Source organism: Homo sapiens, chromosome 9, assembly GCF_000001405.40.
Source record: "Homo sapiens chromosome 9, GRCh38.p14 Primary Assembly".
Classification (NCBI taxonomy): Eukaryota; Metazoa; Chordata; class Mammalia; order Primates; family Hominidae; genus Homo; species Homo sapiens.
The window spans coordinates 85551337-85576139 of NC_000009.12; the positions used below are offsets into that span (position 1 = coordinate 85551337).

The following is a 24803-nucleotide window of genomic DNA, read 5'->3' on the forward strand; positions in this document are numbered from 1 at the left end:
CTCATCTTCAGATGTTCATCCTTAAAGCTCATCTTGGAATATGTGTCCCTTCTCTATATCCCCTTTGTACCTTGCACATTCTATCTGATCACTTCATGTATGCAATTGAAAGCACTCATTTGTGTGCCTATATTCTCAGTACTAAATCACAAGTGCCTTTAAGATCAAGAACTGTGACTTACCCATCTGATCTCTCCTGTCAGTTTCCAGAAGGGCATGACACATTGCAGGCACCTCAATAAATGTTTGCTAAACTCTTTATGAAAAGCCTTGAGGTTGACGAGATCCTCAGTTTTTATCCCACAGATTTTACTTTAGTGAACAAACTTCAAGGCACAAGACCAATCACAGCAATTCATCTTTGCTTTTATTAATAATTTCAACGTATGTTTTGAGCACTTTACAATGTAGGAAATGCTTTCATAGACATTATTTCCTATGATTCTCACAAAACCTTCACTGAAAAAAAAGACTTCAAGGTCACTTGCCCTATGTTTATAAAATAATCGCTTTAAATAAGCAGATAGGAGTCCAAAAATTCTTACAATCATAAGAAAAAAAAAGTCTAACCAGTACTTAATTATTTCTTGTCATGATTACTTTGTTTTAACGCCACTGTTTCCTTGCTTCCCCCATTTTCTTCAGATAAGTTTACTCCTTTTGGCTTGTCCTGCATCCTTTTCTGACAGCTGCCCTGTGTACACCTGCCTTAACATCTATCCTTCTACTCTGAATAGACTAAGCCAAAAGCAATTAAGAAATATTTCATTCTAAAGAAAACAGAATTTTAGTCCAAAACCAAATCCTGTCATGCTGCTTCAAGAAAAACATCAAAACTTTCACCCAAAGAGCCTTTCTGACAGGATGAATGCATTGAAATTCTCTGCTGTATGGTATCATTATGATGCAGAAAAGGTTTATAATTCCAACTGATTTCTGAAGAGAACAAAAAATGTTTACTTTATGCAGATTCAGAAAGTTTTCTGGCTACCCTCACATTAAGCTATTAAGTGTAACACAAAACTAAACCTAAAAAATTCACCATTCTCCCTCAAATTTATGCCATCTCCTTCCATGAGAGCTGATTTGCCATCCAAGACACCAGAATGTACATCTTCGGCTCCATGACCTACAACAGGCATGATGAAAGCAAAACACTGCCCATGGAGTTGGAAATTCTGGGTTGTGCCTCTACTGTATTCACCAGTTGTATGACCCAGAACAAGCCATTTCCTCTCTCTGAGCACAGGTTTCTCAGTGTAAAGCAGAGATAACAATATCAGTCTCACCCATCTCACAAAGTTGCTGGGCTCATATGATGATAATAATAAAACCTACCTTGTTAAAGAAAACAGTAAATCAACCTTTCTCAATTCCTAAAGAACCCAGGCAATGGCCTGTCTCAAGCCAATAGGATGAAAAATACTCCATCTACCTTTGCACCTCAGAACCCTCCTTTAACTCTGAACTCTTAACTCTTGAGAATAACCTACCTGTTTTAAGACAGCATAATAAAATATCATGGGGGAAAATTTTTGAAAATGATGCAGAAACAGAAAAATATGCCATTGCCTAAATTATTGGCAATTGGTGAATTGCTGATTGTGTCTGATTTTCTTGTATTGAAATGTCAGATTTAGGGTGAAAGAAAATCTTTCTATTTGTACAAATACCAGAAGATGTTTCATTTATATAATTTATAAAATTTTATTCCTATCTTGTGAGAGATAAATATAGCATCTCCTAAAAATATCACAAAGTAAACAAAGTTATCCATAGAAAATGCAAGTAACAATTTCTGTCAGGCTTAAATGGCTACAGCATATAGACGTACATGCATACACACACATAACTAGCATACAGAATATCCAACAAGAGAATATGTCTATTTGGAAAAAAAAGAAATTTGCTAATCTATTTGTACTTTTGTTGAAAAGTACAATACAGTCCCTGACTTGTAATAGTTCAATGTAAAATTTTTTGACTTTACAATGGTGCAAAACCATTCCGTTATTTCAGTATAATATTCAATAAATTACTTGAGATATCCAACAGTTTATTATAAAACAGGCTTTGCCTTAGATGATTTTGCCTGACTGCAGGCTACTGTTTAAGTGTTCTGAGTATGTTTAATGTAGGCTAGGCTAAGCTATGATGTTTGGTAGTTAGGTGTAGGAAACGGGCTTCTAACTTACGGTATTTTCAGCTTATGATGGGTTTATCGGGACATAATCCCACTGTAAGTCAAGGAGCAGCTGTATCACTTAGCTGTATCACTAAGCTGGCTTTGGGAAGCAGCAATTAACTATGTCACTATTTTGCCATTGAACTAAAACATTCCTTACACATAATGAAAGTGTTAAATGACTAAATTATCCAAATTAGACAAGAGCATTTCAAAAACTGAAACCATTATATTCTATTAATTTTGATTACATACTTGGGGGATATAAGATACAATAAAGGAACGTGAATTTTAGAGTTAGACCTCAATCCAACTCCTGATTCTGACCGGAATTTCTAGATGGATGGCCTCAGGTAAATTTCTCTCTTTCAGCCTCAGCTGCACACATCCATAAAAGGATCATAATACCATCTGTCTCTGATCATTCTCAGTAGAACATTAGAACCTCTGGGATAACCAACCTTTACAGAAATTCAGAATGAACATGCTTATCAGGGGTCCCAAGACCACCATAGGGTTAGTGATTTGCTAGGAAGACTCACAGGACTCAGCACACAGTTGAATTCAGTTATGACTTATTACAGTGAAAGGATACAAAGCAAAATCAGCAAAGAAAAAAAGGTGCGTGGGGCAAAGTCCAGTGGAACCCAGGCCAAGCAAGGGCAGCTGTTAGAGGCAGAGAAGTCATCAGAGCTTTCAGCAATTTCAAAGGATTGGAGGCAAAAACTGAAGTTCAGAGCTGCCAAGGTTCCTGAAAGAAGGGAGGTGCAGAGATGTGACCTCAACACTTGACAGTTTTCCCTTAAAGACATTTGACAAATTTTTAAATTACATAGTACAAGAGGCTAAAAAGCAAAGCATAAAGCAGCAAAACAACCAAAACAAAAAATAAACAAGTGAGCAACAGAAATTTCTGGTAGTCCTGTGGTGCTGGGGAGAGGAGGAGCCTAGGCCTTCAGTTGTGACCTCTGGAGGGCTACAGCTTACAAAGCCAGGAGGAGGCGTGAACCAAGAGTTCAAAGAGGTTTCATACATTTTGCAACCCTACCTTAAGGAAACTCAGGGGCTCTCTGGACTCAGGCAATCTGCCCTACTCTAAAAGCCTCCCAGAAGATAAAATGAATCTTCTGTGAGGGAAGATATCTAGAGCCTCTGAAGTTTTTATACATAATACCTGGCATCTGATCAAATATTACCACACATAAGAAATAGAAACAGGAAAAATATTCCAACAGAAACAGACCCAAAGGTAGTTCAGTATGGGGGTTCTCAGGCATGAACTTTAAGTAATAATTGTAATTAATATGTCCAAACAGACGATGAAATGAAGAATTTCACCATCTATTAATCTATTTAAAGAGAATCAAATGGAAAACCTAGAAATGAAAAATATATAACTGAAATTAAGAACTCAAAGATAGGTTTAAAACTGTCTTTTGGACAGAGCTGGAAAGAGACTTAGTGAAGCAGAGATAGGTAAGTAGAAAATGTCCAAACTGAAGGGAAGAAAGCAAAAAAAGGATAGAAAACTTAAATCTCCACATAAATTAAACCTGCTGAGGAAAAACGAATGTGGCAGATGCAACATTTGAAGAGCTAAGGGTGGGGAATTTTCCAAAAACAACAAAAGACTCAAATCACAAATTTAGGAGGGGCTACAAATCCCAAGTAGGATAAATACAAAGAAAACCAACTCTCAGCACTCATAGCAAAATTGCTAAAAACCAGAAATAGAAAAACCTAAAAGCATCCAGACAAGACTCATTGCCTTCAAAGGAGTAAAAAATAAGACAGTAGGCCGGGTGCAGTGGTACACGCCTGTAATCCCAGCACTTTGGGAGGCCGAGGCGGGTAGATCACGAGGTCAGGAAATCGAGACCATCCTGGGGAACATGGTGAAACCCCCGTCTCTATTAAAAATACAAAAATTAGCTGGGTGTGGTAGCAGGCACCTGTAATCCCAGTTACTCAGGAGGCTGAGGCAGGAGAATCACTTGAACCCAGGAGGCAGAGATTGCAGTGAGCCGAGATCGTGCCACTGCACTCCAGCCTGGCGACAGAATGAGACTCCAACTCAAAAACAAAAAAAGATAGTTGATTTCTCAACATAAACAATGGAAGCTCAAATTCAATGCAGTGGCATCTTTAAAGTGCCAGCGAGGGGGGCGAGGTGGCACTAGGGGGAAGACCCACTTAGAATTCTATACTGGAGATACAGTCTTCAAAAGTGAAGGTGAAATAATATGAAATTTTTCAAATAAATAAAAATGGAAATAATTTGTTGTAAGCAGACATGCACTAAAAGAAAATTAATCTTAAACCAAAACACAGAAATAGAGGAAGAAATGAAGAACAATGTAAAAGTAAATATAAGTGAATGTGACTAACTAAAACATTAATAATGTGTAATTAGATTTAAAATATATGGAGTTCAGTTCAACAAACCCTAGGGCTTACTTTAGTGTGGAAGGTGGGAGAACAGAAAGGATCAGAAAAAAATAACTATTGGGAACTAGTCTTAGTACCCAGGCGAGGAAATAATCTGTAGAACAAACCCCCGTGACATGGGTTTACCTATGTAACAAACCTGCATATGTATCGCTGAACCTAGAAGTTTAAAAAATACTACTAATAAAAAATAATAAAATATATGGAGTTCAATTAAAATATATGACAATAACACAAAAGGTGAAAAGGTGAGTAGAACACATCTGAAGATCCTAGCATTGTCTGTGAAGAGGCAAGAAGAGTAATTTTTATTATACTCTAATAAACCAAATATCCATGTTATCATCTCTAGAGTACCAGTAAAAGAACAGCAAAAGAGAATGGAACAAGCTTATAGAGAGACAAAATTGGAATAACAATAAAACTTTTTGAATTAATCTCAAAGAAGGTGAGAAAAAAACATAAAACAAGTGAAACCAATAGAAAACAAATACAGTAACTTACAAGCTCAGTTGTATTAGTAATTCATTAAATGGAAATGGAGTAAATACTCCAATTAAAAGACAAAGATGACTAACTGGATTATAAAATACAATTACCTGGTACATACAAGATTCCTATCTTAAATATAAAGAGAAAACTGGGACTAGAAGGATGGAAAAGATATTATGCAAAAACTAACCAACGAAAGCTAGGGCAACTACACCAATGTAAAACAAAGCTGGCTTTAAAGCAAGAAGCATTACCAAAGAAGAGACATTTTATGATAAAGAGATCAATCCACCAGAATGACGTAATGAAGCAAAAGTTCTACACATCTACTATAATAATACATAAAGCAAAAATTGACAGAACTTAAAAGGAAAAGTGGACACATTCGCAGTGATAGGGGAAACCTGAAAACATCTCTCTTAATACCTAATAGAACAAACAGATCCAAAAACCATTACAATGTGAAAAATCTGAACCACAGATTTAAAAACTTGATCTTATCAGGAATATATGGAATCCTACAACCAGCAATTAAAGAATATACATTCTTCTCTAATATGAATATAACACTAAATATGTATTCTTCCTTATGCTGATATATTCTTATTTTGAAGTCTCAGACACTTATTGTGAGAGAAATAACTTTTTCTCCCAAGAGGCTACCAAAAATATAAATAGCCATAAACATATACAATCATCAAATTCCTTACATAGCTAAGTCTTCCAGACTAATAATCACTAATTTGATACCTATCTACATCTCAATTATAAGGATCATTTACTTATGACAAGGCTCAAAGCTTTCATTATAATCAAATCTGGTCTGGGATCCCGAGGTGCTCACATCAGTCCCAAACTTATTTATCTGGATGATTTCAATCTCTCTATTTGTGGGTACAACAGCATTTCATCTACTCAGCACAAATACAAATGGAGCACTTTTAGTTATAAGCAACTACGATTTCCAAAGTACAAGAAGGTATGATATGATCTCCAATTACATGACTTATCTGCCCAGAAAAATCTCAGTAGTAATTACAGCGCTAAGAATTTTCTATGTAGTAGCAATAAATGATTCCCAGAAATGCAAACCAGACTCAAGTTATGTGTACCACAGCTATTAGAAAGGAAAATCTTTTTTCTTAATTTGCTTAATTAAATGGTAAATTATACATTAAAAATAAGGCACATTAATACCAGTAAACTTTACCACATAGCTAAGTATTAGACACTACTGTTAACATTTAGCCAAGAATTACCTATATTAATTTAATTTTCTCAGAAGACAGAGTTCCTATATATGTATAAACAAACAAATACTAGCTTCACATAAGGAAAATACAGATAACAGAGGTTAACATTTCATTCTAGTGTTTGCTAACGGTCTATAGCAACTATTATCTTTGTACTATTTTACCAATATCTACCACTCAGTCTCTCTCATAATGCTGGGGACAGGACTACAGACTTTAGCTGAAAAATAATATGATGGTAACTGGTCCACAGACTCATAGTGTTCCCTATACCTTATTCGAAAAATATCAAAACATACCAAATTAGGTTTTTTAAAAATGTTAAAACAAAATATAACTAATGCTAAGTATTTTAAAGGCTTTCTTTGGCTTAAGTTATATTTATTAGTTGCATCAGGAACAATTTCTCATCAAATTTTCTAATGTCCATGCTGTAGGTATGAAAAGGAATTAAGTAGTGACACATGCTACAATATGGATGAACCTCAAAAGCATGCTAAGTGAATGAAATCAGACACATGAAGGTCACATATTGTATGATTCCATTTCTATGAAATATCCAGAATAGGTGAATCCATACAGACAGAAAGGAGATCAGTGGTTGCCAGGGGCCAGGAGTGACTGCTTAATTGGTATGAGGGTCTCCTTTGGGGGTGATAAAAAGGTTTTGGAACAAGACAGGGTGATTGATGGCTGCACACCATTGTCAACATACTAAATGCCACTGAATTGTTTGCTTTAAAATGGTTAATTTTATGCTCTGTGAATTTCATCTCAATTAAAAACTAGATCCAAATAGTATTTTTGATTATATGTCAGTAATTAGGCTTCATTTAAACATGGGTATATTTTTAATTATGATAAAACATTGTGTAGATATTGCTATCTTTCAACTTCACTTACCTATAATTTTTTTTGAGCCAAGGTCTCATTCTGTTACCCAGGCTGGAGTACAATACAACGACATGATCTCGGCTCACTGCAACCTCCACTTCCTGGGCTCAAGCAATCCTCTCACCTCAGCCTCCCGAGTAGCTGGGACTACAGGCACCTGTCACCAGGCCAGGCTAATTTTTGTATTTTTTGTAGAGACAGGGTTTCACCACGTTGCCCAGGCTGGTCTCAAACTCCTAGACTCAAGACATCTGCCTGCCTTGGCCTCCCAAAGTGCTGGGATTACAGGCGTGAGCCACTGCACCTGGCCATCCTATAGTATTTTAAACATGCTCAAGCTTCAAATACTTCATCCACAGACCTGATATCCTGAAATTTAGTCACCACTACAATATCCTAATAAATAACTATTAAATGTTTCATCAGTCTCATTCTCAAATCATTTAAATGAAGGTCACTGAAACTGTTTAATAGTTCAGATAATAGATAAAATAAAAATGACTTTTGCTAAGCACAAAAATACTACATAGCTATTTGCTTTTATGAGTCCTACCAGTATTTCCAGCTTTGACCTGAAAGAGAAACACCTACCCCAGGAAAAATGTAGTGTTGCATCAGATGGAATTTTTATTATACAACACAAATGGGTAAAATTAAAATGACTTTTGTTTGGCAATTACCAATAAATGCCCTGGGAATATATAACATAATGAATAGTCGACAGTGAGCATTATTGAAAAGAAAGTTCTATAACTTCTGGTAAACACAGAGGATCTAACAAAAGCATTTATTTCTGATCCCTTCTCAAATACTACTAAGATGACAGTAAAAAAAAAAAAAATCTTTTTTTTTTTTAAGGATAAATTCATAGGGAGAAAATAAATTCAAGAGGAGGTAACGATGAGACAGGAATAACACAGGGTGGTCACAGGAGAATAGAAAATTCCAGGCAGCAGTTTCACATGACCAGCAAAAAAGAAACTGCTGAAATGGCTGCAGAAACTAGGGACTGATAAGACCCTGAAAAACCAGGTTGACCAACTGGACCCAACATAGCACTGGAATTGACCTAGGTTTCACCTAGGACCTCATCATATGCTCATGAACATACTAAGTCACACACCCACCAGTGTCATGACAGTTCCAGGAACACCCATATTTGGTGTAAAAGTGGGTAGCACAACAGTTCCGAGAAATCTCCACCTTTTCCCAGTTATCTTCACGAATATTCCACCTTTTGATTAAAGAAATCCATAAAGATAAAAATCCCAAACCCCACTGTGGGACTGTCTCGACTATGCCTGCAGTCCCCTTTCTTGAGTGTGTACTTTTGTTTTGCAATAAATCTCCGTATTTTCACTATTTTCTGACTCATCCTTCAATTCCTTGGCGTGATAGTGTCAAGAGCCTGGGGACACAGACACTGGCTGGGGTCAAGGTCCCACCAGCATTTGGAGACCCCCTCCAGCCCACCAGTATCAAAAGCAAACAAGAGATAATAACAAAATGTTGGAAGATGGAGGCAGGTGGAAGCAGATGGATGAAACTAATGGTCTTGAGTTCCAACTTCCTTCACTTTGCTAAGTACCTATGGAAGGAAGGGAAATCAAGGGAAAAAAAATGCTGATTTACATTACAAAGCCCTAGAAAAGTTCAGCAATTAGAGACACTGGTTATTTTTAACAAATGGGTTTTAGGGTGGAATTGAAAACAAGAACCAGCTAAAAGATTTATAAAGAGGAGTTAGACCTTCAAATTCCCTTCTTCAGCCCATCTCCTATTTCACAAAGATGGGAAGTTGGCTTTCAAAAGATGCTTCAGAGAGGCTACTCACATAGGACCAAAAGGCAGAAGTAGCAGAAGTACAATCCAGAAAATGAGGGTGCAAGTGGGGAGCGCAAGTCAAAGTCTGCTCGAAAGTAAATCCTATTGAGCTTCCCAAATGCTGGCTTATGCCCCTAAGGCAATACTTCTCAACTTAAAAAAAAAATCCCCTAAGGAGTCTTTGTAGATAGATATTTTTCCTAACTCCCACCCCTTAATTAATTACATTAAGTATTAAAAAGATAAATTTAATGTCAGATAACACCCAGTTAAAGAAAGTTCAGATAACACCCAGTGAAAGAAAGAATAGGTGAATTAGAAGGTGGGTTAGAAAAAACATCCAGAAGAAAGCACAGAGAGACAAAAGGATAGAAATTTATTCATAAGAGAATAAAAGACACAGAGGATATAGTGAAAAGATCATACGCAAACATAAATGGAGTCCCAGAAGGAGAGATAATGAAGGCAGGAACAATGTTTGAAGAGAATATAGCTAAGAATTTCCCAAAACTGATAGAAGACATGAAGCTCCAAATTTAAGAAACTTTGGGAACCCCAAGCAAAATAAAAAGAAAATCATATCTATGTAAAGCTCCTAAATATGAAAGACTAAGAGAAATTCATAAAAGCAACTTAGCCTTAAAAGAGACCATTTTCGGCCGGGTGTGGTGACTCACGCCCAGCACTTTGGGAGGTGGAGGCAGGCAGATCATGAGGTCAGGAGTTCAAGACCAGCCTGGCTAATATGGTGAAACCCCGTTTCTATTAAAAATACAAAAATTAGCCAGGTGTGGTGGTGCATGTCTGTAATCCCAGCTACTTGGGAGGCTGAGGCAGGAGAATCGCTTGAACCTGGGAGGCAGGAGAATCACTTGAACCTGGGAGGCAGAGATTGCAGTGAGCCAAGATCATGCCACTGCACTCCAGCCTGGTGACAGAGTGAGGCTCCATCTCAAAAAAAAAAAAAAAAGACAGACCATTTTCAAAAGGGCAACAACAAGACAAATAGCTAACTTGACATCCTAACAGTGGAGGACAGAAGACAACAGAATCCATATCTTTGATGTGCTGAAAGAGAGTAAATGTCACCTAGATTCTCCAGCCACTGAAAATATCCCTCAACAAGTAAAGGTGAAGAGATAGCAGTGTTCTTTGGGAAAAAGAAAAATGATCTCAGATAAAACCCAAAATGTAGGGAAAAAAATGAAGAGAAAAAAGAGCAGGGGGTGGAATGCGTGGTGAGAGCTAATGACTGCATTAAACAATAATATCTGTAAAGTTAAAAATACTCATAGTATCTGAAAGTATCTAACAACAGCAACAGATACGTTGAGGGGGGTTAAATGGACTTCAAATGTTATAAGAATCCTGTATTGTCCAAAAAAAAAGATAAAAGTACAATTTTTTTTTTTTTTTTTGAGAAGGAGTCTTACTCTGTCACCCAAGCTGGAGTGCAGTGGCACAGTCTCGGCTCACTGCAACTTCCGCCTCCCGGGTTCAAGCAGTTCTCTGCTTCAGCCTCCCGAGTAGCTAGGATTACAGGCACCTGCCACCACGCCCAGCTAATTTTCATATTTTTAGTAGAGATGGGGTTTCACCATCTTGGCCAGGATGCTCTTGAACTCCTCACCTCCTAATCCACCCACCTTGGCCTCCCAAAAATACACTTTTATATTAAGAGTTTGATAAAGTGAGACTGCATGAAGTAATGCCAAGTGTCCGTTAAAATCAGTTAAGAGAATAAAACCAATATAAATCTAAAATCAATCTAAAATCTACCAATCTAAAAGAAAGCCAAAAAAAAAAAAATACAGGACAGATGGAACAAATAGAAAGCAAATAATAATCTGGTAGATTTAAACCTAAATATGTTAATAATTACAATAAATGTAGGTGAACTAAATGCTCTGATAAAGAATAACTATATTCTGCTTAAAAGACATATTTAAATATAAAGACACAAAAGGCTAAAAACAAATACTAAACAAAAAGATAGCTTACGCTTACATACATAGTAACACCAGCAGGGTTAAGATTCTGTCAAATTTGTAATATTAACTCACACACTCAGAAGTTTCAAGCTTTTCCAATTAAAATAATTTTATAGATTAGTAGTTTTAAGCTCTGTTTAATTTACATCTAATCTTTAAATCTCCATTGTTATTTATAAAACTAAATTTATCTTTCACCAAAGCAATGGTGTAGAAACTAAATGGAACGACTGGCAACTTATTTTTCATAATTATCACAAATTCACTTTGAATAAGTCTCTTACCTTTTTCTTAGTTTATTTAAACAAAACTTAAATGTTATATGCAAAAAACCTGATGGTTCACAGTATTGTAAAGAGTAATTATATAATATCTGAAATTGGGCGAATATTTACATCCCCCCTCCCATCCCAATTCATATGTTGAAATCCTAATTCCCAAGGTGATGGTATTAGGAGGCGGGCCTTTGGGAGGTGATCAGGTCACAACAGCAGAGCCCTCTTGAATGGGATTAGTGCCCTTATAAAAGAGACCCCATAAAGATCCCTCAACCCTTCTGCCATATGAGGTTACAGTGAGATGACCACTGTCTATCAAAGAACAAGGCCCTCCCCAGACACTGAATCTGCTGATGCCTTGATCTTGGACTTCCCTGTCTCCAGAACTGTAAGAAATAGATTTCTCCTGTTTATAAGGTATCCAGTGTACGGTATTTTGTCACAGTAGCTCAAACAGACCAAGACAGAAACTGACACCAAGAACTGGGGGTGCTATTGTAACAAACATGTAAAAATGTGGCAGCAGTTTTGGAAGTGGGTAGTGAGTAAAAGCTGTAAGAGTATGGAGGTGCTTGCTACAAAAGGGATACATGGCTGTGAATGGCCCATAAAGAGCAATTCTGGTGAGGCTCAGAAAGAAAACAGGAAAGCTATAGAGAAAGCTTCAGACTTCTTAAAGAATACTTAATAATCCTGATAGAATGTTGGTAGAAATACGACAGTAAAGGCCATTCTGATGAGGTCTCAGATGAAAATGAGGATATTTGGCCAAGGAAATTTCTAAGCAAACTGTTGAAGGTATGGCTTGGCTTCTCTTGATTGCTTATAGTAAAATGCAAGACAAGAGAAATTAAAGATGGAATCATTCACGAGAGAGGAAGCAGAACTTAAAAATTTGGAAAACTCTCACCCTGTCTATATTGTAACAAACGAGAAAGACAGTTTGGGAGGAGAGAATACCAAGGGTGTAGCAAAAGGACCAACTGATAAGGCATAAAGTCAGCCAAATAAACAGAGCCAGGAGCTATTGTCCAAGACAAGAAAAGAACGACCACCCTCCCTGACAGGCAATTCAGAGATCATCAGAGTGGTTTCAAAAGAGGAGCCACCTGTGCCTGCAGGTTCACACACTCCACTCCCTGCAGTCTGGCACCCTGCTCCTCTGCAGCACAAGGTGAGGCTCTGGAAGGCCCAGGTGTGGTACACATGCAGTGGTCACCACTTCAGAGGGCACAGGCATTTGGCAGCATCCATGTGTGCTGTCTCTGCTGAGCCCCAGAATTCACCAGCCTGGGAAGCATGGTTACCTCCACCTAGATATCGAAGGATGGAGCCACAGGCACAACACCCAGGTAAGGAACCACCACAAGGGCAAGGCCACCACAAAGAGCTGCTACTAGGGCAAGGCCCAGCAAAGCCATGGGGGCAGGACTGCCTGGAGGCTTAGGGATCCAACCAATGGCCAGCAAAACTGCAGGGATGGAGCCTCCACTCTAGTGTGTCCAGAAGGTGGAACGGCAGCCCCAGTGGGCCTGAAGAGCAGAGAATGCAGCTAAAGATCATTTTCAAGCCTTCAGGTTTTGGACATGCTCAAGAATTGTCACTTCTTTTTCTTTTTGGAATAAAAATGTCTGTCCTGTTCTTGTCCTACCATTGTATTTTAGAAGCACCTAACTTGGTTGATTCCACAGGCTCACAGCTAAAGGAAAATTTGCCTCAGGACAAATTATACCTTGAATCTCACCCATATCTGATTTAAATGACACAGTCATATGCTCCAATGATGTTTCAGTCAACGATGTAATGCATATATGACAGTGGTCCCAATTATAATACCATATTTTTACTGTGCTTTTTCTATATTCAAATATGTTCAAATACAGAAATACTTCCCATTGTGTTACAATTATATATAGTATTCCATACGGTCACATGCTGTACAGGCTTGTAGCCTAGGAGCAATAGGCTATACCATATAGCCGAGGTGTGTAATGGGCTATACCATCTAGGTTACTACAAATACACTATATGATATTCATACGATGATGAAATCACCTAACAACACATTTCTCAGAATGTATTCCTATTGTTAAACGATGCATGACTATATTCAGATGAGTCTTTGGACTTTAAACTTTTGAGTTAATGTTGGAATAAGCGAACATTTTGGGACTATTGAGATGGAAATGATGTATTTTGCTTGTGAGAAGGACATGAATTTTGGGATGGGAACAGGGATGAAGGGTAATGAACTGAATGTTTATGTCACATGAGGTTACAGTGAGAAGAAGGCCACCTATGAGGAAGCAGGCCCTCACCAAACACCAAATCAGCCATTGCCTTGCTCTTGGACTTCACAATCTCCAGAACTGTGAGACATAAATTTCTGTCATTTATAAGCCATCCAGCCTATTGTATTTCATTATGGCAGCCTGAGCTGACTAGGACAACATCTGTCAATGAGTTACTACTTATGTTGAAAAAGACATTTAATGTAAATATTTATTCTTATTGCTGCAAGTATTCAAGCTTATTTGATATACATTGCCTACAAATGAAAATAAATTAATTTATAACAGATACTGTATCTCGGGAAATAGTTAAAACCAAGAAGGATAAAACTGAATTGAGGGCTAAGTTGTGGAATAACACGATCCACACTGCAGACAGGTTGAATAAAGCAAAATTCTGGCAGGGAAAGATGGATTTGAAAAATTATGAAAGGGTGAACTCAACTAAAAAAAAAGTTAGGGGAATTTATATTCATTAACTTGATACCTCAGTTTCACATTACGACCAGGAAATAGATTAAAAATTACAAGGACAAAGAAGGGATCCAGAAGAGCACAGACAATAAAGAGAAAAGGACAGGGGGGTGATCTTAGTAAAAGGTAAGTGGTCTCCTAGTTCCATCTCTAACACTGTCATTTACCCTTTTCACTTACACTTGGAAATGTGTCTTCCCCTACTGATTCCATGCTGCCAAATGCCTGTGCCCTACTGATTCCATATTCATCATTATGACCCTCCAATGCTACCTAATACTATCTCCTCAAGCAATCATTGCCCCTTATCCTCACTATTCTTATTGGAGCACTCATCCTCGTCTCAAATGTAAATGATTCCAAACACCTTCCTTAAGAATTTTTTTGCCTCCACCTTCCCAGTTTCAAAAAAATGCATATACTTCTTTCAGGTAAAATAGTGGCATACTTTGCCAGTGGCTTTAAAACTCCCAAATGACTAAAGGATAAAGTCTAATGTGCTTACATGGTTAATTTGGGCACTATAAGACAGTGCTCTTCCCAGAAATCTAATTCAATTGAATTTTTAAATCTGACATAGCTACCTACCTCTTATTCAACTCAATATGTGACTGGCACACATTGCAAGGTACCATGAATGGCACATTATGCAGCACTAAAGGGCACAGATATAGTCTCTGCACTAAAGGGCACAGATATAGTCTCTGGGGTTAACTAGGAGTTAGCCAGGCAAAGTGTGAGCAAAAGGCTTCTCTTAAAAGTTGGTATTGAAGCCAGGCACAGTGGCTCATGCCTGTAATCCCAGCAGTTTGGGAGGCCGAGATGGGAAGACTGCTCGAGCCCAGGAGTTCAAAACCACCTGGGCAACATAGGGAGGCTCCCTCTCTACTGAAAAAACAAACAAACAAAAAAAATTAGCTGGGTGTGGTGGTATGTGCCTGTAGTCCCAGCTACTTAGGAGGCCGAGATGGGAGGACTGCTTGAGCCCAGGAGGTTGAGGCTGCAGTGAACTATGATCATGCCACTGCATTCCAGCCTGGGCAACAGATCAAGACCATGTCTCAAAAAAAAAAAAAAAAAAAAGGCTGGTATAGAAAAGTACACACTTTCAGGTTCCTGTTATCCCTGTCCCAAAGACAGAGCAATGATTAGGTAAAATACAAAATAGGATGACAAAAAAGACACATATGCATATAGAAATAAGATATATATCTCCTTGGACCGGAAAAAGAACAGAATCACGAAGTCAGGTCATGGGTGTGCCGCCAGGTCCAAATGCAGGCAGCAGTAGCTCCTTCAAGGCAACAGAGAGGCTGACAAAGTGCCCTACAGGCAGGGAACTAAATTCAGACTTGTGAATGCAGCAGCTGGAGTAAGGCTTCCCACTTTAGAAAGGAGGCTGAGAAAATAAGGCTGAGACTTCTGCCTAAAGCTAAAGACTTTATAGCATTGCAATTATAAAGTCAGAAAGAAAAGACAGAGGGAATCACAGCCAGAACTTTCATGAACTCAGTGACTTGTCCTGGAAAATCCCCAATCACTGAAGGATGGGAAGTCTGAAATGTTAGTATCATGCTACCATAAACTTGTGCTGGAGCCCTGAGAGGGCCAGGTAGAAAGAATCACAAAATCATTAAGAGGTTACGGGGAGAGGCTTGAAAGGCCTGGGAGTGGGGGACTCTACTTAAAATGAGCCTGCAAACTATAGGATCATGAGAAACAGTGGATGAATTTACCAACACAATAAAAATAAACAGCACAATCCACAAGTGACTTTAAAAGTCTTTAGGGTCTTCAAAGAAGGAAAGAATAACGGCCATAGGATATACAAGAAAATGTGAGGGCTGGGTGTGGTGGCTCACGCCTGTAATCCCAGCATTCTGGGAGGCTGAGGCAGGTGAATCATTTGAGGTCAGGAGTTCAAGACCAGCCTGGCCTACATGGTGAAGCCCCGTATCTACTAAAAATACAAAAGTTAGCCAGGCAGTAGTGGTCCATGCCTGTAATCCCAGCTACTAGGGAGGCTGAGGCAGAAGAATCGCTTGAGCCTGGGAGGCAGAGGTTGCAGTGAGTCGAGATCGCGCCACTGTACTCAAGTATGGGTGACACAATGAGACCCTGTCTCAAAAAAAAGAAGAAAGAAAATGTGAAATAAATGCAGAAACAAAAAAGAGCAAATTAGATGAGAAATACATAGTCATTAAAAGAAAAATCTCCCAGGAGATAAGTTCTGGGAGTAGTTGGTGAATTATAAAATGCTACTGAAGAATTTACCTAGACTGTAGCAGGAAAAGGAAACATGAAAAAGCAGTTAAGAGATATGCATGGAGAACAGACTGAGAAATTCCAATACAGGAATTCTAGAAGAACAGAATAAAGGGAATGATAAAGAAGCAATTTTCAAAGAGAAAGTGGTTGAGAACTTCAAAACTGAAGACAAGAGTCCTCAAATTAAAAGTACCTATTAAGTGTCAAGCAAGATAAACTAAAAATAAGTCTACTCCTAAACATAATGTACTGAAACTGAACCAGATTGAGGATAAGAATAAAATCTTAAAGAAGTGGAGGCACAGACATTTTGGTAGAGAAAACCAAAAATGCAAAGACCCTAGGGTGACAAAGAGACTGATCTGTTCTAAAATAAGGCTACTCAAGGTGTGGTCCATTGACCAGTGTGGTCCACAAACTCTTTGTTACTGGCCCATGGTGACAAAAGTACAGAAACTGAAATGAAGTGTTCAGAAACCTTTATAACAATCTGACACAGAAATTATAGGTCTGGTGATCTAATAATAATAAATTAGCACTTATATTTGTATTCTTTGGGGTCCTCTCTCCCATTTTCATAGTGTTTCATTCTTATATTTTTATTCAAGTATCAGTACAGAAAAAGTTGTAAAACAGAAACTGGTCCTTTGCCATAACTGGTTTAGAAGCACTGTTCTGAAAATTCAAGGGTGGTCAGTGCAGTTAGAATGATAAGGATACAAAGTGAGAGTAGGACAAGCTCAAAGAGGAGAGGAAGGTGTAGGTGACTTACGCTGGACCTCAGAGACTCTGATAATGGATATATTCCATTACACACCTGGGACACCGATAATGGTTTCTAAGCACACGAGTGACTAGTGCATGCAAAGAAGCTGGAGGATACCAGAAGTAAAGTACATGGAGCAAGACCAGTCAGAAGGTTACTGGAGTTGTTCAGGCAAAGGGTAATGGCAGCCTGGACTACTGTAATGGTAAAGGTGATGGAGAGAAATGAAAGCTCTGAGAAATATCTCAGAAGAGAAATCAAAAAGTTCTGGGTGATGGATTGGGTTAAGGGTAAGCGAGAGGAAAATGCCAAGAATAAGACATGAGCATCTGGGTGGACAGGGGTGGCTAAGAATGAACAGGTTTGCTATGGGAGCAGCAGTCACAAACTGAGTTCTAGACCAGTTAATTTTGTGTCCAGGTGTACATAAGCAAGTTGGAAGATGGATCCACAGGTCTGGGAGATTGTAAGTATTTTGGAGTTGTCAACATACAGATAGAATGTAAACTCACAGGAATGAATATCACCCACAGAAAGCAGGTAAATTGAGAAGTGGAAGAGGAGAAAAAGCAAAAGAAGATGAAGGAAAAAATGCTCAGAGGAAAGTTTATGAACACACCACCCCTGTTTCCCCCCTCAACAAATAAACCCAAGTGACCTGTGTTAATTAACTATGGCTGTTGTTACCAAAGTAACTTTTATTAGTGATCACTGATGCAGAGCACAACTAAAGGACAAATATCAACAGCTAAGAGAAGGAGGTAAAGATAAGAAATAGTACAACATCCCCCACATCACATTACCAATAATGTAAATAATGACAAGAATTTGCACTTATTCCTGAAAAGTTTCCAAGAGCAAGAAAAAGAATAGCTGAATGAATATACTATATTATATTACTATAAAATAAGATATTAAAATAATAAATAGCAGTAACTAAGGAAAAAAGTTTTGCCAACCTGTATTGGGTGGGGGGAAGCAGGCTTAAAAGCAGCAAGTATATACTAATGATCTGATCTGAAATTATAAAGCTGGCTAGTTTTATCTTCAGCCCACAATCAGAACCTCCCTCATTCCCCTTATTTACTCTATCTGTATTATATGAAAAACAAAACAATAACAACAAATTTACATTTAAGAAGCAGCGTGCTGAATAGCTGTACGCTAGTAGCGTGTCATATTACACTGGAAGTATCCACCTCAAAAAACAACTCCAGATAGCTCTGCAGCCACCACTCTCCTCAGAGTACCACATTAGCTGTTGCTTACATCATAGAAGTCCCAGGCTACTATAAGCTTCTAAATGTTTTGAATTAATACATTTTTCATATAGGATGGATCATTTATCATTCCATACTTAAAGACATATACAATTACTATTTCCTCTTCTATAAAATCTATACTCATTAGCAAAGAACTGAACACTTGCTCCTCTGATGTTTTCTTCAGCCTTAACTTTTCTAAGCTCCAGATAAGTCTTTCCACCTTACCTAGTCTACAGTAGTCCCCTATTACCTGCAGAGGACAAGACCAAGACCCCTCTGTTCATGCCTGAAACTGTGGACAGTAACAAACCCCATATATCTGTTTTTTTCCATATGATAACTGAGACAGCTACTAAGTGACTAAGGGGTAAAGGGGATGGGTAGAGAGTGTCTATAGTGTGGCTATGCTGGACAAAAACAATGACTCATGTCCCAGGTGGAATGGAGTGGGATGGCAGGAGACGTCACCAGACTACTGAGAACAACATGCAATTTAAAATTTATGAATTGTTTATTTCTGGAATTTTCCATTTAATGTTTTTGGACTGCATTTGACCACGGTTAACTGAAACCACAGAAAGTGAAGCCAAGGATAAGGAGGCTACTGTATTTTCCATTGCTAACTTTGTTTCCTTCACGTTCAGCTGCTATTTCTTTACCAAACCTCATCTACTATTATCTTTCAAGCCCTACCCTAAAACCTAATGATTTGGGAAAAACTCTCTCAGATAAATCCAGCCTTCACTCAGTCACTCTTTTTCTTCAAATGTCTATGTAATTTTTAACTGTTATTTTTGTACTCTTTTATAACACTATCATGCCACTTCACAAACATAAACTGTGCTTTTTCCATCATACTATCGACTCCCCTCAGGACGTGAGCTCTCATTTCCCATTTCTTCTACTTTTGCAGAGATTCTAGCTCAACACTCTGCCCATGATAGGTTGCAATAAATACCTAAACACAATGACTCATTAATAGAACATAATTGGTCAATGAATAGCTACTACATGAAAGACACTGAGATTACAAAAATAATTTTTAAAAAGCTCCCTCCCTTTGGATTGTTGGAGCCTAAGCAGGGTGAGGAAGGCATCCGAGAGAGAGCAGTGAGACAGAAGATTAGTTACACACAGGCAGGTTGATCAAGTAAGAAAAAAATATTCAAGATAATGACAGCCAGGTTTCTCACTGTTAAGGAAGGGAATTAGACATTTAATTTAAAAACTAGACTTAACCCTTAGGTGTAGAATCAGAATGGAACATATCACTGTGAACTCAGAATTTTTAGGTTATGTCTGTCTTTATTTGAGCATGCATGTATATGCATGTGTGTACATATATATAAATTCATGTATGTAAATACTTAAATATATTCTATAGCTCTGTCTACCAAGAGAACTTGGGAGCAGTAACATCACAAAAGCAATAAATAACTACTAGCACCGAGGCTTACATATAAATACCGTTTTCCACCAAAAGGAATCAGGAAGCATTGAAGAAATGATTGATGATTCCAACCCTGAGATAAAGAACATGCAGTGATAGCCTGGGAAATCCTGTTCTGCCAAAAAGCAAGGAAATCCGCAAAGAATGATGAGGAAATATAAAAAAACATAACAGAAGTTTGAAGGGGCCAAATCAGGAAAATTTTGAGCATCAAAATAAACAATGGCAGTAATAGATTAAAACTCACTGAATTAAAATTATAAATCATAAGCCCCATACATACAAATTTAAGGATGAATAAATTAAAAGTTGGATGATAAAATGGAATACTGACAGTTTCAAAGTACGTGCCCATTAAAATATTTATTAATTACAAAAGAGGAAAAAACTACTTCATAATGGAGAAGTTTGGCAGATACCATCTTAATTAAATGATCAAAGGGAATATTTTGAGTAATGGAACAAATTAAAACTGCGCTCTACGATAAGATGCAATGAGAAGCACACAGTATCCATGATAGTCTTGCCAAAGATGCATAATCTGAATATAATCATGCAACACACACAGACTCAGATTGAGAACATTTAATCCTCAAAAGCATCAGGATACAGAAGTCAAGGAAAAGTCAGAAGTATGTAAAAAATTCATTTGAGATAGACAAAGAGGAATGATAGCATGGAGGAAGAAGTGACTAGTTTGCCTACATCAATAAACAGGAGAAAGAGCTACAGTAAAATCTCAAAAGAAAACTGAATTTGTAATTGGCCATTATTAGTTGTTTGTGTGTGTTTTTTTTTTTTTTTTTTTTTTTTTTTTTTTTTTTTTTTTGAGGCACAGTTTCATTCTGTCACCCAGGATGGAGTGTAGTGGCAGGATCTCAACTCACTGCAACCTCCGCCTCTTGGGTTCAAGCGATTCTCCTGCCTCAGCCTCCCGAGTAGCTGGGACTACAAGCGCACACCATCATGCTTGGCTAAATTTTTGTATTTTTAGTAGAGACAGGGTTTCGCCATGTTGGCCAGGCTGGTCTGGAACTCCTGGCCTGACCTCAAGTGATCTGCCCACCTCGGCCTTCCAAAGTGCTGGGATTACAGGTGTGAGCCACTGCGGCTGGCTTGGTTTGTATTTTTATATTTATGCAATGATAAGGATGAGGAGTTCTTAACCTTTTTTGTGCCACAGTCCCCTTAAAGAGTCTGATGAGGCCTATAAACTCCTTCTCATAATACTTTTAAATATATAAAACAAAATAAATATGATTACAAAGGAAATCGATTATATGGAAATATAATTATCAAAATGTTAAAAACATATTTGTGATATAGCAGTACATGTGATTTCTTTAAAATATGTGCTTTTCAAAATATATATACTCCTTTTAAAACAATAAGACCAGTGGAGGGCCTAATCATAACCATAGTTGTGAAGTATTAGTAAGCATAAACGATATTTCAGTATATCTAAAGCACCAGTAACGGTCTGTTGACTACATGTTAAGAATACACGAATTAAAAGTTAAAAGGAGGCTTAAATATCAGTGAGAATTGACAATTTTTATATTCATTTCTATTCTTGTTTAGGAGGTACTTTGAAGGATAGAGAATGCAGGTGATTATTTGTCTAAATTATCACATTTATGAGGAATGGAGTTCCAAGTAATGTTTGTCACACCTAAAACTACTATACTGACATATACAACAGGGCAGAGCAATAAATTAACAAATTTGATGACAAGTTAATACCTAACAACAAAAATCATGAAGGTTCTATAAAATGAGACTATTGTTACCCATATACACAAAACCATAAAATGCTAATCTCTGGCATTATGATTAAGAATTATGACATGAACTCCCTCTCCCTCTCCCTCTCCCTCCCCCTCCCCTTCCCCACGGTCTCCCTCTCCCTCTCTTTCCACAGTCTCCCTCTGATGCCGAGCCGAAGCTGGACTGTACTGCTGCCATCTCGGCTCACTGCAACCTCCCTGCCTGACTCTCCTGCCTCAGCCTGCCGAGTGCCTGCCATTGCAGGCACGCGCCACCACGCCTGACTGGTTTTCATATTTTTTTGGTGGAGACGGGGTTTCGCTGTGTTGGCCGGGCTGGTCTCCAGCTCCTAACCGCGAGTGATCCGCCAGCCTTGGCCTCCCGAGGTGCTGGGATTGCAGACGGAGTCTCGTTCACTCAGTGCTCAATGGTGCCCAGGCTGGAGTGCAGTGGCGTGATCTCGGCCCGCTACAACCTCCACCTCCCAGCCGCCTGCCTTGGTCTCCCAAAGTGCCGAGATTGCAGCCTCTGCCTGGCCGCCACCCCGTCTGGGAAGTGAGGAGCGTCTCTGCCTGGCCACCCATCGTCTGGGATGTGAGGAGCCCCTCTGCCCGGCTGCCCAGTCTGGAAAGTGAGGAGCGTCTCTGCCCGCCCGCCATCCCATCTAGGAAGTGAGGAGAGCCTCTTCCCGGCCGCCATCCCATCTAGGAAGTAAGGAGCGTCTCTGCCCGGCCGCCCATCATCTGAGATGTGGGGAGCGCCTCTGCCCCACCACCCCGTCTGGGATGTGAGGAGCGCCTCTGCCCGGCAGCGACCCCGTCTGGGAGGTGAGGAGCGTCTCTGCCCGGCCGCCCCGTCTGAGAAGTGAGGAGACCCTCCGCCTGGCAGCCACCCCGTCTGAGAAGTGAGGAGCCTCTCCGCCCGGCAGCTGCCCCGTCTGAGAAGTGAGGAGCCCCTCTGCCCGGCCACCACCCCGTCTGGGAGGTGTACCCAGCAGCTCACTGAGAACGGGCCATGATGACAATGGCGGTTTTGTGGAATAGAAAAGGGGGAAAGGTGGGGAAAAGATTGAGAAATCGGATGGTTGCTGCGTCTGTGTAGAAAGAAGTAGACATGGGAGACTTTTCATTTTGTTCTGTACTAAGAAAAATTCTTCTGCCTTGGGATCCTGTTGATCTATGACCTTACCCCCAACCCTGTGCTCTCTGAAACATGTGCTGTGTCCACTCAGGGTTAAATGGATTAAGGGCGGTGCAAGATGTGCTTTGTTAAACAGATGCTTGAAGGCAGCATGCTCATTAAGAGTCATCACCACTCCCTAATCTCAAGTACCCAGGGACACAAACACTGCGGAGGGCCGCAGGGTCCTCTGCCTAGGAAAACCAGAAACCCTTGTTCACTTGTTTATCTGCTGACCTTCCCTCCACTATTGTCCTATGACCCTGCCAAATCCCCCCTGCGAGAAACACCCAAGAATGATCAAAAAAAAAAAAAAAAAAGAATTATGACATGAAATTATCTCTGAGCCTACAGCTTATCAAATTTGTATATACTAACTTTTAGGAGAAAAAGACTACCTATTTAGAAGTATATTTGGCAGATGTAGTTCAATTTTCAAAGGAATGCTAAATTAGCTGTTTCTGATATATATAACCAGAAGGATACTGGACAGCCATCTGATGTGTGTAGACATCAACAAAATCTTTTGAAATATTCCTGACTCTAAGCCTTTTTTTTTTTTTTGGAGATAGAGTCTCCCTCTGTTGCTCAGGCTAGAGTGCAGTGGTGAAATCTTGGCTTGCTGCAACCTCCACCTCCCAGGTTCAAGTGATTCTCCTGCCTCAGCCTCCCAAGTAGCTGGGATTACAGGCACCCAACACCATGCCCGGCTAATTCTTGCATTTTTAGGAGAGATGGGGTTTCACCATGTTGGCCAGGCTGTTCTCGAACTCCTGACCTCAGGTGATCCACCTGCCTCGGCCTCCCAAAGTGCTGGGATTACAGGCATGAGCCACTGCACTCAGCTGTCTAAGCCCTCTTAACTTAGATATTAGCTAAGTATAATATTTCTCACACTGTTCATTTTGGGGTTAAAAGTAAACCAGTACAACCACTAAAAATACTTGAAATATATTTTTATTAAAATCTCATCCAAATATCAACATTAAAAGAATCAGCAATATAAATTGGAACAAATATTTGATGTATTAACTTAATTATATTAATTCTAAACATGCTCTTGCCTGTCAAAATTTCCATGCCTTTTCTGCTATTTTAATGAAGTCTAATAATATACTACAATATAATAAAAGAAAAAACAATTTTTTCCTACCTAGTTACTTTGCAGCTTGATTCAATTAAATCATTTTCAAAGTCAAGCAGGCTGGAAGGCAGATTATACTCCAATGGAGAGGTCAGTCTTTTCAAACGTAAAAGACCAACACAAAATTTTGCTCCCATCTCTTCCAGTTCTCGGGTACCAATCTGTAAACCCTTGAAATAAACAAATATTATGCATATAATTACAAAGTTTGCTATCTTCTGGATACAGCTCAATGAAATTATATAAAAAGAATTTATAACTATATTAATAAAATTAAAAGGCTGGTACTTTGTATGGAACTAGGACTCAACAAGTTTAACATCTTAACAATACAAGATTATTTTAAGTCACAAAGGAAACTGTCCTAAAAGACAATTTCTAAAATGTCTATTCTCTTTCACTATGATGCAAACTATTTTCACCATCACACTAGGGGGAAAAAATACAGTAACACTTTGTGACGTTACTTGTAGAATTCATGTGACAAACTGTATTTTAACAAGAGCTTGTTAGTATTTCTTGTAATCCACTACTTCGTATGCTAATGTTGAAATATTATAGTATTAAAATCAAGGCTCCAATATGTACATTTGAACATTACTTTATAGATACTTCTACTGTATGATAAGAGAAATTGATCAGTAAAAAGCAAATAAAGGTAACTGTCAAAAAAAGAATCAAATCTAAGCCAATGAAGTAGTGGTCAAATAAATTCCTATGATCCATGTCAATTCAGAATGCTCATTTCAAATTTTGTCTACTAAAGCAAAAAGAGTATTTTATCTTAACCTCCCTATCTTTTTTAAAAAATAGTTTCTCAGTAAGTAATATAAG

At 38.6% G+C, this 24803-nt stretch overlaps 1 protein-coding gene across 23 annotated transcripts in view; it reads right to left on the reverse strand.

Annotated features, from left to right (window-relative positions):
* AGTPBP1 (ATP/GTP binding carboxypeptidase 1) overlaps positions 1–24803 on the reverse strand; it is a 258945-nt gene that overhangs the window by 4798 nt on the left and 229344 nt on the right. For 20 of the 23 annotated variants that reach the window (XM_047423094.1, XM_047423090.1, XM_047423089.1 and 17 more), the window contains one exon: positions 23979–24139. In XM_047423094.1, coding sequence (XP_047279050.1) covers positions 23979–24139 — 161 coding nt within the window. Of the gene's footprint in view, positions 1–345; positions 2937–23978; positions 24140–24803 lie in introns of those variants that run through there. The other 3 variants (XM_017014545.2, XM_011518418.3, XM_047423098.1) reach the window with 1 other exon arrangement.